This window comes from Homo sapiens, chromosome 6 (genome assembly GCF_000001405.40).
Source record: "Homo sapiens chromosome 6, GRCh38.p14 Primary Assembly".
In the NCBI taxonomy this organism is placed as follows: Eukaryota; Metazoa; Chordata; class Mammalia; order Primates; family Hominidae; genus Homo; species Homo sapiens.
The window spans coordinates 1323222-1341561 of record NC_000006.12 but is presented as its reverse complement, the minus strand read 5'-3'; the positions used below and the strand labels follow the sequence as shown (position 1 = coordinate 1341561).

The window sequence follows — 18340 nt, the reverse complement described above, 5'->3', positions numbered from 1 at the left end:
GGAAATCATCTACCTATTTCTACTATTGAAGTTGTAGAAACATGAATAAACAAAATTTGTGACTAACGTATGCTTTTACTATCTGAATGTATACTTAGAACATTCTCTTGAATTTGTGTGTCATTTGCTGGTACAGGATCTTACGAGAATAGAGGATGTGGCATTGTGAAGCAATGCACAGAAATGAATGGCTTACAAAGAATGACTTGAAGACATGCTAACAGATGGCAAAGAAATAATTTAAACCTAGAGATGAGATCTCCCTTGGCATGCTTCTTGTTTTGAGGAAGAAGGAAAGACAAGAAAGTACCTTTATTATATAAATATCAAATATACTTTTTTGGAAGTATGATGTTCAAATTTGAACATTCTATACATGAGAAAGTCTTGACTAATACATGGTAAAAAATAGGGCAGTCACTTCTTTAGTACTGGCACTGCATGTTGGTTAAATAAAGTAAAACATTATATTTGGTAAGGTAGAAAACCAGTTTTAAATTTATTCATAATTCAGATTTAATTTTTTGACTAGGTAATACTTGCACATGCTGCCAATTCAAAAGGGACAGAGGCAGTGATGGCATGTCCTCTTGGCACTGCTGTCTCCATCACCACACCCCTGGAGTCAGCCAGGCCACTGGCATGTGTGTGCTCAGGGCTGCCCTCCGGGTATGATAACACACACACCTGAGTGCCTGTAACAGAGTGGGTGCCCTTCCCCCTGTGCAAAGGTACTATGCTGAAATGCCATTCTACATCTCACTTTTTAAATTTTTTTACTTAAAAATACATCTTGAAGTATTAAGGGAGGCAAAGTGATGAAGAGCAGGTACTGTGTGTGGCTGCAGCAAGTGTGGGCAGAATGGGGACTTTCAATCAACTCATCTGCAGACCATGTAGAATGGTGCCAAATTAGTGTGACCTCTAAGACCCCCAGCAACCTCATGCAAAATGTGAACCTCATCCTTCTGGCCAGTGACTACAGAACATGAACAAAATCCCACACCAAGTCCACACTGCACCATCCAAGGGCAAGATCTTACCCATGTCACACCGTGATGCAGCAACAGTAACCTTGAATTTGGAAAGAATTCCTGGGCTGGTTTTGATATCACCCTTGGCCTTGGAGGAAAATACGCAGCTGAGGCTAGGATTGTGCCAGCTGGGCGGAACACTTAGGTGGTAGCTACTGAAAATTACCCTCAGATAGAAGGGACTGCCTGCATCCTGACCTAAGCACGGTGACCAAAGAAGAGTGAATGACTCAAAGCTGCAGAAATCCCTTCAGTCGGCAGAGTCTGTTGGGGCAAAATCAGCTGACGTTGGTGTCAGCTCAGCCACGGACTCTTCTGAATGAATCACGGAGGAGGATCCTGCAAAATCCAGTATTCCCTGAGATCCTGGAGAACCTTTTGGGCATGGACTCAGAACTGTTGGGAATGTTACAAGTTCCCTGGCCTCCAGAACATGAGGGAGGGCTACAAGAAGTGAGGTTGGAGGGAAGGGTCCAGACGGCATGAGGCAGGCTGGGTTAAATTCATTCCCCACAGCAGCATTTCAATATTAAGGTGCACAGCACGATGACTTGACGTACATATACGCTGTAAGATGATTACCACGATCAAATTAGTTAACCCGTGCATCACCTCATATAGTTATCATTTTTGTCTCTTTTGTGGTGAGAACAGTTAAGATTGACTCTCTTATCCGCTTTCAAGTGTACAGTTCATTATTATTAACTATAGTCACCACGCTGTACAATAGATCTGCAGAACTTATAATTGCAAGTTTGTCCCCTCTAACTAACATCTCCCTAGTCTCTCCACCTCACTGTCCCTGGTAACCAGCATTCTACTCTCTGCTTCTATGAGTTAGACCTTTAATATAAGTGAGATCATGCGGTACTTGTCTTTCTCTGTCTGAATGATTTCCCTAAGCATCATGTCTTCCAGGTTCATCCATGTTGTCACAAATGACAGGATTTTCTTCTTCTTAAAGGCTGAATAGTGTTACATTGTGTGTGTGTGTGTGTGTGTATATGTGTGTGTATATATATGTGTATATATATATATATGTCACATTTTCTTTATCCATTAATTTGTTGATGGACACTTAGGTTGATTTCATATCTTGGCTATTGTGAATAGTGCTGCAATAAACATGGAAGCGAGCTGTCTCTTCAACATACTGATTTCAATTCTTTTGGTTGCGGATTGCTGGATCATGTGACACTTCTATTTTTAATTTTTGGAGAAACCTCTATACTCTTTTTCATAATGGTCATACCAGTTTTATTTGTCATTATACCTACCTCAATGAAGATGGAATAAAAGACAAATAAATCACTTCAGCCAACTCACTAGGCTGTAAACTTCATGTCTTTCTGCTTATCACTGTAGCCCTCTGTGTCCAGAATGATATCTGGATTAGCACAAACACTCAATGGGTATACATTAAATGAATGAATGAATCAACAGATGAGAGATGTACCTTTAAGAACAAACAAGTTTTAAAAGTGTTACAAATTTGTTCTTCCAAGTAGTTCAAAACTACCAATAAAATCTGTGTAAGTTCTGGAGATGGATGGTGTGGTGATAGCTGTGCTACGCTGTGAATGGACTTCATGCCACTGAATTGCATAAATAGTTAAAGTGGCAAATTTTATGTAATGCATAGTTTACCACGATAAAGTAAATTTACTTTTTAAATGGTAAAGTGCATAGGCATCATTTAGGAATCTTATTAACATGCAAATTCTGTTTCAGTAGGTCTGATATGGGTCCTGCCACTTTGCACTTCTAAAAAGCCTTCAGCCTGCCCACACTAATGGCCAAGGATCAGCCCGAGTAGCAAGACTCCAAATGAAATCTAAATAAAGCTGGAGATTTGTTTTCTTTTTTGTTAAATCTCTGTCTCCCCTACCTATTTACCTTAGAGACTGCTCTGAACCAATGCATTAAGAATTTCCTCCTTCTTCTTCTTATTTTTTTGAGCTGGGGTTTTACTCTGTTGCTCAGTCTGGAGTACAGTAGTGCAATCATGGTTCACTGCAGCCTCGACCTCCCTGGGCTCAAGTGATCCTACCACTTCAGCTTCTTGAGTAGCTGGGACTACAGGTGTGCGTCACCATACAAATATTTTCTATTTCATATTTTTTGTAGAGATGGGGTTCACCATGTTGCCCAGGCTGGTCTTGAACTCCTGGGCTCAAGAGATCCTCCCACCTCGGCCTCCCACAGTGTTGAGATTACAGGCCTGAGCCACCACACCTGGCTCCTCCTTCTTATTTGAAGGCTGTATTCGCTTTCCCTCATTTATTTCACCAGTCCCCTGTTTACTGATGGACAGTTAGGTGGACTCTCATCTTTGCTCTTACAAACCAGGCTGGAATGAATAAACTTGATCACAGGCATATTGCATGTATCTATGAAAAGATGTGAGTTCAAGTGCAGGAATGCATATGAGCACACTTTTGTGCTGAAAACTATGATTATTTTAATTAGTGATGACAGCAAAGATCACACTTTTTTGAAAGGAGGGTTTTATTTTTGACTCAGACTGAGCTGGCAGTCATCCGAGACCCTGTCATTTCTGCATGTGGTATTATTTAGCCACATTATCTTTCCCATCTTGTTCTTGTGCAATTGTTTTTCTGAAATCTAACTGTGGGATTGATTTACATAGCCTGTTAAATTCCATCTTGCTGGCTTCGGACTGTCGTTCTCACCTGTCAAGATAATTTTGGTTGTTGACTTTGCCATCTAATATTTCCCCCACCCGCCTGGGTTTATGCTATCTTCACATTCAGCAAGCACATTATTGCCATCCATTGGTTCATTTGGTGACTATTTATTGAGTGCACTTTGACATGCCAGGCATCTTTTTTTTGTTGTTGTTTTTGTTTTTTGAGACGGAGCCTTGCTCTGTCGCCCAGGCTGGAGCGCAGTGGTGCGATCCCGGCTCACTGCAATCTCCGTCTCCCAGGTTCAAGAGACTCTCCTGCCTCAGCCTCTCAAGTAGCTGGGATTACAGGCAAGTGACACCATGCCTGGCTAATTTTTTATTTTTAGTAGAGATGAGGTTTCACCATGTTGGCCAGGCTGGTCTTGAACTCCTGACCTCAGGTGATCCACCTGCCTCGGCCTCCCAAAGTGTTGGGATTACAGGTGTGAGCCATGGTGCCCAGCCACCAGGCACCAATCTAAGATCTGGGCATACAGCGGTGAACAAAACAGGAAGAAATCCCTATTTTCCTGGAGCTTTCATTCAAGTGTGAAAGACACATGAAACAAAGATAGGTACATATGGTAAACTCAGTAATGCCAAGTGCCGAGGAGAAAGATAAAGCAGAAGAGAGAGATAAAAGAGGAGAGGACTTTTTTTTTTTTTTCCCAATTTTAGATAGGGTGGCTAGAGAAAACCTCAAAGGAAGTGGTAACATTTGAGCTGAGATCTGAAGGTGTTTCTATCCAGTTCATTGGAAAACATGGTGGAAAAGAATTCTTTGATGTGTCCCTATAGGTCGATGTTAATCCATTAACTGGCACCTTTGGGTTACAACTGATTAATCCACGGAATTTCTCTGTAACTTAATTGTCTAACCTACATTTCTCTATGCCATCCTTGAAGATATTTTCGGATGTATTAGAACTGGATAGTCAGTGTCTGTGGTGTTTCCCTGATGTAGTCTAGTGAAACTCTCACACAGGGAAATGAGATTAATGTGAAAAGACTGTTTTTCTCTTGTCAACTTGGAGTCGCTGTTAGTGGTTACTGAGTGGCACAGCTGAGCAGGGCAGGCCGCTGTGGGCGAGTCAGTTTCCGTGGGCCATTTTCCATCTTTCTTGACCTCTTCTATAAAGTCCAGGCAAAAAGACCCAATCCTCTTACCAATGCTGTGGGAAATTAATTCTTTTCCCTAGTACACTTTGGCAAATGTAATTCTGAATAACAAACCACTCCTTTAGCTCACTCATTTCAGCCCAAACTGAAGGTGTGACCCTTCATTGACATCCCTCCTCTCTTGGGCGCAGCTGCCTCTTAGGGGTTGAGACTGTGTGCTGGCAGGTAGCACTCTCCAGCTGTCTTGCTGTTATCTTCACACTTACCTGCAGGCTGCAGTGTTGCCATGATTATCACCCAGCCCATGCACCAGGTTGGGTTTTCCAAGTGTACAAACAGGTTGGGTGGAGGTTTCAGGTAGACACTGAATTCATAGAGCAGACAAAGAAAGCATGGGAGGTTAGCTCTGAGTTCCAAGAATAAAGTAAAGCCAAGTGCCTTCATGAAGCCCCCATAATGTTTGTAATAAAGCTCACCACTGGGCTTTCTGGCCTCAGTTTCTTCATCTGCAGAATCCATGGGCTAGCCGTGATTATACTTAAGGCTAATACTTTACCCTGAATATTCAGGTTCTAGGTATATGCTTCATTAAAACTATCTAGGGCCTCAGAAGTTTAGAATTCTGATTTCGCAAAATTCTGATAAAAAATAAAATGTGTGAACATGAGGGCAGCAATCTTGGTAATAAGGAAAAGCCTGGGGTAGGGCTGGAAACCTCGTAGGCACAGAGGCCCTCCAAGAGGTCCCTTCCCATTGATCGGGCCGGGCTAGGGCAGTCACAGCGTGCTGGTCTGGTGGAGTTTATGCAGCAACACAAACAAGAAACGCAGCAGCAGGGACAGAAAATCCCCATGAAGTCTGCCTTCTGCAACTAACTCTCGGTCCACCCCTCTCCACATCTTGGTCTTCCCTTCCCAACCCCATTCACATCCTTCCAGGGGAGAACGTGCAAGAAATTTCTCCTTTCCTGCAAGCAAAGGAATCCAGTAGTGCCACCTTGGTCAGAATGGCCCTTTGTTCTGCTGTTTAATGACTAATTATGATGCTATGAGAGGCATACACAACTCTGGCAGAGCCAGGCCCTCCTGCTCCAGCAGGGCTGAGCGGCTGGAAGTGTGTAATCTTCGGAAAGCTGTGACTGCGACCTGGAGTTGCGTAAGAAATAATTACAGAATCCAGCCAGGGCTTGCTTCTTGCCACAGGCTCCAGGCTTTTACCCCCGGTAGCTTTACATGCTTGTTAATTTTTAAACTGTCGAGTAGTAGCAGAATATTTTGTAAGCTTCAGTAATGGTTGCAGAGTTCAGTTTGGGGCAAGGAGAGGAAAGGGAGGGCGGGGGAAGGAGGTGAAGGAGTGGGTCCCATTTGCTTCCAGAACAGTTTTGTCTTTCTGCAAGCCTTGGTCCTGTGGTAGGCCTAAACTTTCCTCCTTTACCATAGAAAAGGAGTTTAAAAACAAACATACAAGCCTTGTTAAAGTCTCTCAATTTTTAAAAACCAGTTCTTTAAAAAAAAAAATCCTTTGCAATACTCATTATCTTATAAAAGAGACCTCATGTATGATTTTAATCTTAAAAAGTAAGTAAAAAAAAATTCATGTAGCTTCTGGTTAGCTACCAGAATCTTAAGGAGAAGAAAGAAAGATTTTTATCTGTGAAAACTCCTGCATGCACTAGCGACAAAGCCTGATGCTCTAATCTGCTCAGACGGCCGAAGCTTCCAGTCTGAATCCGTGGCAGGCAGCCTCTTGACCTCCAAGCATCGGTCTCTTCTGCAAAATCAGGGCGCGTCCTCTGTTGGTCTGTGTACTTTTGTGGCGCCTATCACTGTGGGATCTGGGCTCAGAGACAAAAACATCAGGCAAAATACAAATTTGTGTATTATGGAAGGAAATGCCGTCTGGCTCCCTGGAGTCACCCTTGGCTTACGTGCAGTGAGGACTTTATCCCAGGGTGGTTTGCATATAGCCTAAGAAAAAGTGTGGACGAAACCAACCCTAGAGACTTCCTTGTTTTCATTTATAAAAGAAGCAACAAGTTAGTGTTTGTGAAGTTGGGTAAAATTACTTAAGTTTTAAAATGTGCTGCTAACTGTCTCCATTGAAACAGGTAACGGCCTTCTACTCAAAAGAATGAGGAGGTTTCTTCTCTCTTCCTTTCCTTTCCTTTCTCCTTCCCTCCTCCCTCCTTTAAACCTTTATGCTTTCCTTCCCTCCTTTGTTTTCTCCTCCTTTTTCTCTTTTGTATTCTTCCCCAAATAGTAAACTATGTTTGTCTTAATAGTAAAGTAATGCACATTAATGATAAAAATGACTTCTGCCAAGTAGAATACAAGAGTGTAAGGTAAAAGATAAAATGTTTTTCCAAAGATAAAAGACCTCTCCAGCTTTACCAGATACACAGAGGTAACTGCAATTTAAGTCTTTCTTAAAATCTTTCTGAAAATTTCCTCTGCACGTGCAAACTTTCACACAGACGGATATATATCTATTTAACCTTCACTGCAAATGGGGTCACACTCGATGTATTGTCCGCAGCACACTTCTCCTCACTCAACAGTGTATCTCAGAACCTTTCCACAAGAGCATAAGAATCCACCCATGCTTAATAGTCCATTGTGTGGTTTGTATCATAATGAATTTAACCAGTTTCTTAAATTGATATTAGCAAGTTTTCTCCCCCCATTTGGGGAGATTACAAACAATACAGCAAGACGTGTCCTGGTACCCTTGCACTCTTTGCACAGATGAGAGAACAAACCCTTAGGCTGAATTCTTAGCAATGAAATTGCTGGGTCAAAGGGTATGTAAATTTTACATTTTAATAGATATTGCCAAATTGCCCTGTGAAAAAGTTATATCAATTTACAACCCTATCAACATTATATGAACTGCCTATTTCCTCAAAACCTCACCAACTCCATGTGCTATGAAACTCTTAAATCTTTGCCAATAGGCAATAAATGGCAAATGATTATTGCTGTAATTCATGTTTCAAGTAAGGAAGACAACATTTTTTTGCATTTTATGGACTATTTGCATTATTTTCTGGAATCTGGCCTTGACTACTGTTTATTTTTATTGTATTTTTTTTTTTTAGTTTTAAAAATTGACTTTAAAAGCTTTATCATTACCTTTATTTGTCAGATAGGCCACAAATATGTTTCTCATTTGTCTATTGCTTAAACAAATAGAAGTTTACATTATTTAAAGACTCACACTTACCCACCTTTTCTTAGAAAGCATTTGGGGTTTGTGCCATGCACAGATGAGCCCTGCTTCTACAAAAAAGACTTAGGACTCTTCCATGCTTTCTCCCAGAGTTCTTATGGGCTCGCTTTACACATAGAAATCTTTGCTGTTTTAGACATGTGTTCTGGTGAATGGAGTGAGATGAGGACTGGGTTTGAGAAGATTTTGTTGGCTCCACATGGTTTTGCAAATCAACCTGCTGCTCCAGTGATGACATGCTGCTGAGGGAAGGTTTGGTGGTTCCTGGGAAGTTGAAAGGATCTGGGCAAGCTTTTTGTAAGATCCAGCAGAAGCTTACTCTCTTCTTCTTGCATAGAATATTCTGCTATTGGGCTAGGCGTGGTGGTTCACGCCTGTAATCCCATCACTTTGGGAGTCAGAGGCAGGCAGATCATGAGGTCAGGAGTTCGAGACCAGCCTGGCCAACATGGTGAAACCCCGTCTCTATTAAAAATACAAAAATTAGCTGGGCACAGTGACGCGCACCTGTAGTCCCAGGTACTCAGGAGGCTGAGACAGGAGAATCACTTGAACCCAGGAGACAGAGGTTGCAGTGAGCCAAGATTGTGCCACTGCACTCCAGCCTGGGCAACAGAGCAAGACTCTGTCTCAAAAAAAAAAAAAAAATTCTGCTCTTATTCTGGCTGACCTTTGAAGGAGGTCTCACAGAGTACAGGGAAAGATAGCAAGAAGATGGTGAGAGAAAAATGGAAAACTGAGGGCTCGTGGAGGAAAGGGAGAAACACAAACTTTAAATGGGATTAATCACTTATGTGCATAAACCTTAGAGCTAATAGGACCTATTTCTATTTTGACAATGTAAACATAGAAGACAGAGAATCACTGAGCTGAAAAAAACAATTGAGCAGATGAATTATCTTCATCTTTTTCCATCTAGTTATGCTTGAAAAGAAAATAAGGAGATTAAAAACTTTTTTGTTAGTCTCATTTCAATAACATTTTTGCATTGTATTTTTTGGTTTAACAGATTATTATTATTATTTTTTTTTTTGAGATGGAGTTTTGCTCTTGTTGTCCAGACTGGAGTGCAATGGTGTGATCTCAGCTCACTGAAACCTCTGCCTCCCAGATTCAAGCGATTCTCCTGTCTCAGCCTCCCGAGTAGCTGGGACCATAGGCGCATGCCACCACGCTTGGCTAATTTTTGTATTTTTAGTAGAGACAGTGTTTCATCATATTGGTCAGCCTGGTTTTGAACTCCTGACCTCAGGCAATCTGCCCGCCTTGGGCACTATGTAATCCCATAGTGCTGGGATTACAGGTGTGGGACACCATACCTGGCCAACAGATGAAAATTCTTATGGGAGAGTCAAGGCATCTCATTCGGTATACACCCTAGGTTTTTAGTGTTCCTCCTATAGTTTCTAAATGTGTGGGGTGTTTTCACTTTAAAGACCAAGTAAGTTAATTGCACTAATCAGTAATATCAGAGGTTTATATTTCTTGGCATGAATGGTATGACATGCATGTTGGCAAAGACCTATATGGCTTTGATTTGCAACATAAATAATCCTGTAGATCAAATTCCAGGTAATTTAGTTAAAAGTTACTGAAGGTATTTCCCCCCAAGTGTCTACCTCATGGTAAACTGTGTAATTTGTACAACAATTGTAGGTTGATTGATGAGGATTTGACTTCCTCATTAAAGGTTAAGGTGCACTTTTACTATTATTAATGCTGATTACCATTTGTTGAGTATCCACTCTGTACCATATACTAAATATTTACCATACTCAACAAATAGGTTTGGGTGTGCAGTATATATCTATATCTATATATAGATATAGATATATATAAATTAGAATTTCATCCTAATGTCCTACAAGGCCTGCAAGCCCAGGTCCATTGGATTTACCAGACCATTATATACACTAATTAAGGAAACTCAGAAAGCCAATACCGATTAGTAAGATGGACACCTGAAGCAGAAGCAGCTTTCCAGGCCCTAAAGAAGGCCCTAACCCAAGCCCCAGTGTTAAGCTTGCCAACAGGGCAAGACTCTTCTTTATATATCACAGAAAAAACAGGAATAGTTCTAGGAGTCCTTACACAGGTCCGAGAGACAAGCTTGCAACCCGTGGCATACCTGAGTAAGGAAATTGATGTAGTGGCAAAGGGTTGGCCTCCTTGTTTATGGGTAGTGGCGTCCGTAGCAGTCTTAGTATCTGAAGCAGTTAAAATGATACAGGGAAGAGATCTTACTGTGTGGACATCTCATGATGTGAACAGCATATTCTCTGCTAAAGGAGACTTGTGGCTGTCAGACAATCGTTTACTTAAATATCAGTAAAATATTACTTGAAGGGCCAGTGTTGTGACTGTGCACTTGTGCAACTCTTAACCCAGCCACGTTTCTTCCAGACAATGAAGAAAAGATAGAACATAACTGTCAACAAATAATTGCTCAAACCTACGCCACTTGAGGGGCCTTTTAGAGGTTCCCTTGACTGATCCCGACCTCAACTTGTACACTGATGGAATTTCCTTTGTAGAAAAAGGACTTCAAAAGGTGGGGTATGCAGTAGTCCTTCAAAATTGAAGAGCTTTAGACTTGCTAACCGCTGAAAGAGGGGGAACCTTTTTATTTTTAGGGGAAGAATGCCGTTATTATGTTAATTAATCTGGAATTGTCACTGAGAAAGTTAAAGAAATTCGAGATCGAATACAACGTAGAGCAAAGGAGCTTAAAAAACACTGGACCCTGGGGCCTTCTCAGCCAATGGGTGCCCTGGATTCTCCCCTTCTTAGGACCTCCAGCAGCTATAATATTGCGACTCTTCTTTGGACCCTGTATCTTTAACCTCCTTGTTAAGTTTGTCTCTTCCAGAATCGAAGCTGTAAAACTACTAATTGTTCTTCAAAAGGAGCCCCAGATGCAGTCCATGACTAAGATCTACCACAGACCCCTGGACCGGCCTGCTAGCCCATGCACCGATGTTAATGATATCGAAAGCACTCCCCCAAGGAAATTTCAACTGCACAACCCCTACTATGCCCCAATTCAGCAGGAAGCAGTTAGAGCGGTCGTCGGCCAACCTCCCCAACAGCACTTGGGTTTTCCTGTTGAGAGGGGGGATTGAGAGACAGGACTAGCTGGATTTCCTAGGCTGACTAAGAATCCCTAAGCCTAGCTGGGAAGGTGACTGCTTCCACTTTTAAACATGGGGCTTGCAACTTAGCTCACACCCAACCAATCGGATAGTAAAGAGAGCTCACTAAAATGCTAATTAGGCAAAAACAGGAGGTAAAGAAATAGCCAATCATCTATTGCCTGAGAGCACAGGGGGAGAGACAATGATTGGGATATAAACCCAGGCATTTGAGCCGGCAACAGCAACCCCCTTTGGGTCCCCTCCCTTTGTATGGGAGCTCTGTCTTCACTCTATTAAATCTTGCAACTGCAAAAAAAAAGAAAAGAAAAGTATGACATCCATTATTGAAATACATAAGGAACTCAAGCAACTCAATAACAAGAAAACAAATAACCCAATTTAAAAATGGGCAAAAGACATGAATAGACATGTCTAAGGAGACTTACAAATGGCCAAGAAATGGCCAACAAGTATATGAAAAAATGCTCAACATCACTAATCATCAGGGAAATGCAAATTAAAACCACAAGGAGATATCATCTCATACCTGTTAGAATGGCCATTATCAAAACCACAAAAGATAAATGCTGATGAGGATAGGGAGAAAAAAGAACCCTTGTACACTGTTGATGGGAATGCAAATTAGTACAACCATTATGGAAAACAGTGTAGAAACTCCTCAAAAAATTAGAAATAGAACTATCATAGGATCCAGCAATGCCATCACTGGGTGTATATCCAAAGAAAATGAAATCAGTATGTTGAAGAGATCTCTGCACCCCCATGTTCATTGCAGTACCATTCACAATAGCCCAGACATGGAATCAACCTAACTGTTCATCAGTGGATGAATGGAGAAAGAAAAGGTGGTATAAATACACAACGGAATACTATTCAGCCATAAAGAGAAGGGAATCCTGTCATTTGCAACAGTGTGGGTGAACTTGGAGAACATTTGGCTGAGTGAAATAAGCCAGGCACAGAGACAAATACTGCCTGATTTCACTTATATGTGGAAGGAATCTAAAAAAGTTGAACTCATAGAAACAGAGACTAGATGGTGGTTAACAAAAACCGTGTGTGGGGATGTTGGAGAGATCTTGGTCAAAGGGTGCAAAATTTCAGTTAGGAGAAATACATGCTGGAGATCTGTTATACAGCATGATGACTATAGTAAATTATAATGCATTGTATGCTGGAAAATTGCCAAGAGAGGAGATCTTAAATGTTCTCACCAAAAACAAACAATAAGTATGTGTTGTTGGGTATGCTGATTAGCTTGATTTAATCACTCCATAATGCATGCATATCAAATCATCACTTTGTATACAATCATATATAAAATAAAGAACAAATCAATCTTTAACCTGAGCCTGGTGCTGTACAAACCCTCAAATATGGGAGACCTGCCCTTCTATGATCCCTGCTTCATTTATTGTGGCATTAAAAAGTTCCTCTCATAAAGGAGACTATTAATCTCTCTCTATCTCACTCTGTCTACCTCTGTCTCCCAGAATTAATTCTAGGTGTAACTTTAGGTGATAGAAATGCAGAGTCTTCAGGATGAACCAGACAACTTTATTATGCTCTTAGAATTCAGGTTTATCAACTGTTCATTTCCATCCCTAAATAATAACAGCTAAATTTAAGTAGTGCTTACTATGTGTCAGGCACTGTTCCAAGAACTTTGCATATAATCACTCATTTAACCTTTACAAGAATGCTGTGAGGTCATTACTATTATTATCCTCATTTTATGGGAGAGGAAACAGGCACAGAGAGGTTACCTGCTCAAGGTTACAACAGATGACACATGGTTGAGCTGGGATCCAAATGTGGGCAGGCTGGCCTCAGAGTCCATGCTCTTAATCACTGAACTACATAGCCTCTTCACTCTCGAATCTTTAACTTTAGAAATCAGCTCTAGGCACGAGAGCTGTTACTGGATTGAAGATCCCATGGTAGGATCCCTGGGACCAAAGGCCCCTGTCCCCAGGCAAAGCCAGTGACTCAACACCTGAGCCTCAAGGCAAGGGGATCCCCATCTCAGCCTCTGTGGTGTGCTGGAGCAGGCTCCTACTAGCTCATGGCACAGCAGCCAGGGGTTGCATGTGCAGGAATGTCCCATCCAGTGTTTGGCTGCTGATGGTTTGAGATGGGCCATTGTGAGTACATTTTCACCATGGAATTTAGCAAATGCTGCAAGTCAGAGGCCATTTCCTAGATCACTGTCCCTACTGCAGGATCCCAGTCTTGACTGAAAGGGCCTGGTGTGGATGCAGAGAGCCTGCAGGGCTGAACTGTGGTGGGGGTGAGTATTAAATGCTTTCAGCTGCCCTATCTGCTAGAAGGTTCTCTCTGAAGGCACGGGAAGTGCTCAGCTCCAATGCATGGCAGCTGAGACATGCCCCTACCAACCCGGGGACCTCTCAACCAATCACGCCCTTGTCTCTCTGGTCTCTGCTGGGATCATTCCCAGGCAAGTGTATCATACCATTCCCAGAGTTTTCTCATGGCCTTCAGCACTAGTCACTCTCAGCAGTAGCTGGCTGGACAGCTCACCCTGTATCCACTGCTTTCTGTCCACCGGCTCACCTCCCTCCTCCCCTACTTATTTCTGGCACCTACCAAATTAATTTGTGCTCCAACTCTTTTACTGAGAGAGGGGTTGAGCGGACGGGTCCCCCTGCAAGCCACGGCAGGGAGTCCTTTGGCAGCCGAGGGTGCAGCCCGGCTTGATCTCTACTTCAGGGCCAGGAAGCTCTGCTGCCATGAAATCACGTTTGCTGTATGAATTTCATTTGCTTGTGGTGACAGCACTCAAGATCTCCTCTCTTAGCAATTTTGTTATGGCACTGCTTGCTATCACAAGGGTCACAGATTGTTTCATTCATACCTGACACCTCTGCTAGTGAGGTGGGAGGCTGAGGCAGGGGAATTGCTTGAACCAGGGAAGTGGAGGTTGCAGTGAGCCGAGATCGTGCCACTGCACTCCAGCCTGGGCAACAGAGTAGGACTCTGTCTCAAAAAAAAAAAAAAAAAAAAAAGATAAAATGCTAAGATCGGCAGCAGGGTTATCTTTTTGCAGACTGTCATTTGTCTTCTCCCCATGCCGGGACTGCCCCTGCGCCTCTTGCTCCTTATTTTGAAGACTTGATACTGTGGCTTTGCTGCCCCACTGCTGGGTTTCATGGTACGTGACCCTGCCCGCCCACCATGCCTTCCTTGCCTCTCTGGAGATAACTGCATGACAGGCCAGGGGAGAACCCTTTTCTCCAGGGGAGATGTGGTAAAGTCTAAAAGCGTTCCTAAGGAAAGGAGTGACCTGCACCCATTATCATCATCCTGACACAGCTGAGAGGGCTTGGGCTTTCGGCTCCTAAGCAGGCATCCCCTGAGCCTCCTCCAGGAGGGCAGCGTGAACGTTGCTGGAGATCCAACAATCAAGGCTTCTCTAGTAGGATGCGTCAGGGAAGCTGTCTGTTTGAACCAGTCTGCTCCCTGGCCTGGCAGGGAACAGAGAATGGAGGACTTGGATCCTGTTTATCCTTTAGATTCCTTCTGACTTAGAGCTAAAGCCTGGCCTTGGCTACTGGGCATGCTTAGCACTAACAAAGTGTTTCCTTCTCCAGTAGGGCAGAGAGAGGAAGTGAGGGGAGGGAGTGAGGAAGCCGACCGGAGGGTTGTGCAGGGGTGCGGGGGGTGGGGGTCTCTTCTCCGACTCACTGCAATCCTACCTGTTTGCTCTGCATCGCTCCCGTTCCCCTGGAGCCTGGGTTCTAAACATAGATTGCATATTTTATTAAGCCTGTGTTTGCTTTATAACTTTGGTGAAAAGCTGTAGGCAGCAGCAAAATGATCTGTCAAAGGAATTTAAAAGCACATTTCTTTAAGCACAGATGGTCCCCGACTTATGATGATCCAACTTACAATTTTTCAACTTTGCAATGGGTTTATTGGGTGGTGACCCCACTGTAAGTTGTGGGGTGTCTACACACTGGCATTGATTCACATCCTGGGACAAAGGAAGAGGGACCCCCAGAAGGGAAAACTGATTGTGACCTATGGGTGGTAGAACTTAACATCACATTTGCTGTATGAATTGAAGGTACTGCTGGTCACCACAAGTGTCATGGATTGTTTCATTCACACCCAACACCTCTGCTAGTGAGGTGCAGAAAATACAATGCTAAGATTGAAGCAGGGTTTTCTTTTTGCAGACTGCCATTTGTGTTTGTCTGTGGACAGCTGTGTTCAGTACTCACACTGAGTCCTTCCAAGGCTTACAAGCTGGTCCACTTGGACCTTGCAATTAACAGAGGTGTGAGGAAGGGAACATTGTGTTTGTCATGGATCAATGATTCCCTGTGTCTCTCCGCCCAGTCCCCCTTCCCCCATTTTTTTCCTTTTTGTAGAACTTATGCCCCATTTTTATTATGTAACTCAACAGAATGACTCAAAGGGTGATATTTCAGGCAGCAGAATGAGCTGGGGTGGGGGTTTGGGATCGGTGAGGCAAACAGAAAAGTGTGTGGAGAGAGATCTTATCGGGCAGAGAATTTGGGCTCCCTTCATGAATCACTCTGTGCAAACAGCCAGCCATTGGGCCTGCATGTGGGCTGGGTCTTGATTCTATTGAATCAACTGTGACTAAAAGATACGGTAGTTCTAATTTCCTGTGACTCATGAAAGAGCCTTATTGGGCAGGATTTGTTCTAGGCCCCAATCTTTTAGCTGAAACACTTCAACTTTGCTCATGGAAGAGGGGACTTGGGCCGCCAGACAGCTCTTTTCAGTCACACCTCATCGTGAGGTTGCATTTTAGAAAACATGGGCTCAGATTCATCTTTGCTGGATCCAAATTGGCTGAGTTAGCCTACTGATTTCAACCCCCTGAATGAGCTCAACAAATATTTCTGAAGTAGATGCTGAAGTCACACAAGAGTGGAGAAGGTGCTTGTCAAAGTCTTTGCCTTTCTCAACTCCAGGGAGAGGAACTACCTGGGCTTGAGGGTTTGTTTCAGCAAAAATCTAGAATAGGCCACATCATTTTGCACTTAACCATGATGAGGACTTTTATTGCATGTATGAATGTCCCCAGAGGCTATTACTCAAAAGGGCTCAGCTAATAAATAGGAGAACTAATAATTATCTTTTTTCAGATTGCTGACTGTGTGCAACTGCCGCAAGGGGTCAAAAGTGCTTGGTTTGCACAACATCTCCCCGGCATTCTTACACGTGTGGTTATGGAATCAGGGTGCAGGGAAGGGTCATGGAGCAGAGGGAATTGCATGTGCTCGATCTTTTTCACATTGGAGCTGCTTTCTGAAACCCGGCACGGGGAAGGTGAGGGTGCTGGATAGTTTGGGGGGGCCACAGAGTCCTGTGGGTGTTAAATCTCGGTCCCCCTCTGGGGACTTGTCCTTGCAGGGTGCTCATCCAGGCCTTAAAAGTTGGCAGCATCCCCCAGGAACTACCCTGTGAACAAATCCAGGCTTTCGGAAGCACGTGATTCTGCAGAAATGCCACATTCTCTTCCACATGGGCTGTGGGCTCTGAGTCCCCCTTTGCTTCCTCGGCCTATGTACCTGCTGAAGAAGACAGTGTGAGTGAATGTGGGGAGGGTGGAGGCAGCTTCATGCTGGTGTGGTTCCCCTTTTAGATGTTGGTGCTTGACACATGCCCATATTGAAGTGCAGCAGGCACCAGGGCCATAGATGGCTTTGCCCAGAGTGGGAAGGGGCTGCTACATACTGTGCATGATTTAAGAGGTACTGGGAAGTTTAGCTTTGCCCTGAAAACATGCCCCCCTAACTAGCCCCAGTTAGCTGAAATGCTGCAAATAAAGCTGTATCTCCTTTAACTTAAACTGTTATTGGGAAGGTGCCCTGGTTTGGGCAATTCAGCAAGTGTTACCCTTCACTCTATGAGAATGGGTTCTTGGGGTCAGGGCTGTCGAGGTATAACTCACATGCAGCAAAAACTTCCACTTTCTAGGCGCTGAGTTTGGCCAGTGTGTGCAGTCCTGAAGCCACGTCAGGATGTAGAGTATTTCCCTCACCCCAAGGTTCCCTGTGCCCCTTAGAGCTGTGCCCACCATAGCCCTCAGCAACCACGGATCTGATTTCTGTTCCTTCTGCCTTTTTCAGTGTGTCGTGTACATGCAACCTAAGGAGGTAACCTTTTACCCAGCCTGAGACTTCAGAGGGTATTCATATTGGGGACCAGCAGCCCGTGATGTTTGTCCCCCAGAGAGGGGGAGAGAGCTGCTGCCTGCAGAGTGGCTGCTCCTGCTTTGCACGGCCCCTGGCTTCTGCATCCCTCCATCCTCCAGCTGGGCACAGAGGTTGCCAAAAGGGCCAGTAGGAGGAGAAGGCTTCATGGAGGACGGGGGCAAGAGCGGGCCGACCATGCTGGCTTCCTCGCCTTGTGTCTGGCTGACTGCACAGGCCTGAGGAGGTAACCAACAGCAGAAACAGCTCTGGACAAATGAGCAAAGGAAGACTCGACTGAGTTTCCCCAGAATGGAGAGGAGCTGAGGAAGCTCCAGGGCCCACAGCGGAAGCTGGTGGACCATTTCACTAGGACCCTGGGAGCAAATCAGTCTGACTTGTGTTTGGCCCCTGAATCCCCCTGCTCAAGGCTCAGAGTCCTGGAGAATTGAGGGCAACCCCCACATTGCATGCCATGGATGGTGGCTTCCCCAGGGGAGTCGGGGTGCTAGGACTAGAGCATGCCTCCTACAAATGTTGACTTCCCCAGAAAAATACCAGCTCTCTTAAGTAAGGGTGGGTCTATCTGTGGGGATGATAGGGTCACCCTTATTATTCATACGTTCCCTGGGCCTGAGAACTTACCTGGAATACACTTTGTTAAATAGTAATATTTATTCTTATTTGAGTTATTTTTTTCAGGGCTTTTCTCTAGTTGCTGTATTTATCTTCTTTCAGTGTTTCCACATTTAGCATTAGTATTCTCATGTTATATTTGTATGAACACATATACATTTGTTCCCATGCCTTGAGGCCCTTGGTGCTAATTACATTGATATTTTTATGCTTTATTTTTCTTTATTTTTTTAGAGGCAGGAGTTTTTTCTCTGTCACCCAGGCTGGAGTGCAGTGGTACCACCATAG

At 43.6% G+C, this 18340-nt stretch overlaps 1 long non-coding RNA gene across 1 annotated transcript in view; it reads left to right on the top strand.

Annotated features, from left to right (window-relative positions):
* Positions 1-18087, top strand: part of FOXF2-DT (FOXF2 divergent transcript) — a 67585-nt gene extending 49498 nt beyond the window's left edge. Inside the window, exons 2-3 of the long non-coding RNA NR_187218.1 lie at positions 16635-16809; positions 17354-18087. This is a non-coding gene — a long non-coding RNA (FOXF2 divergent transcript). The remainder of the gene's footprint in view (positions 1-16634; positions 16810-17353) is intronic.
* Positions 18088-18340: the final 253 nt, after the last annotated feature.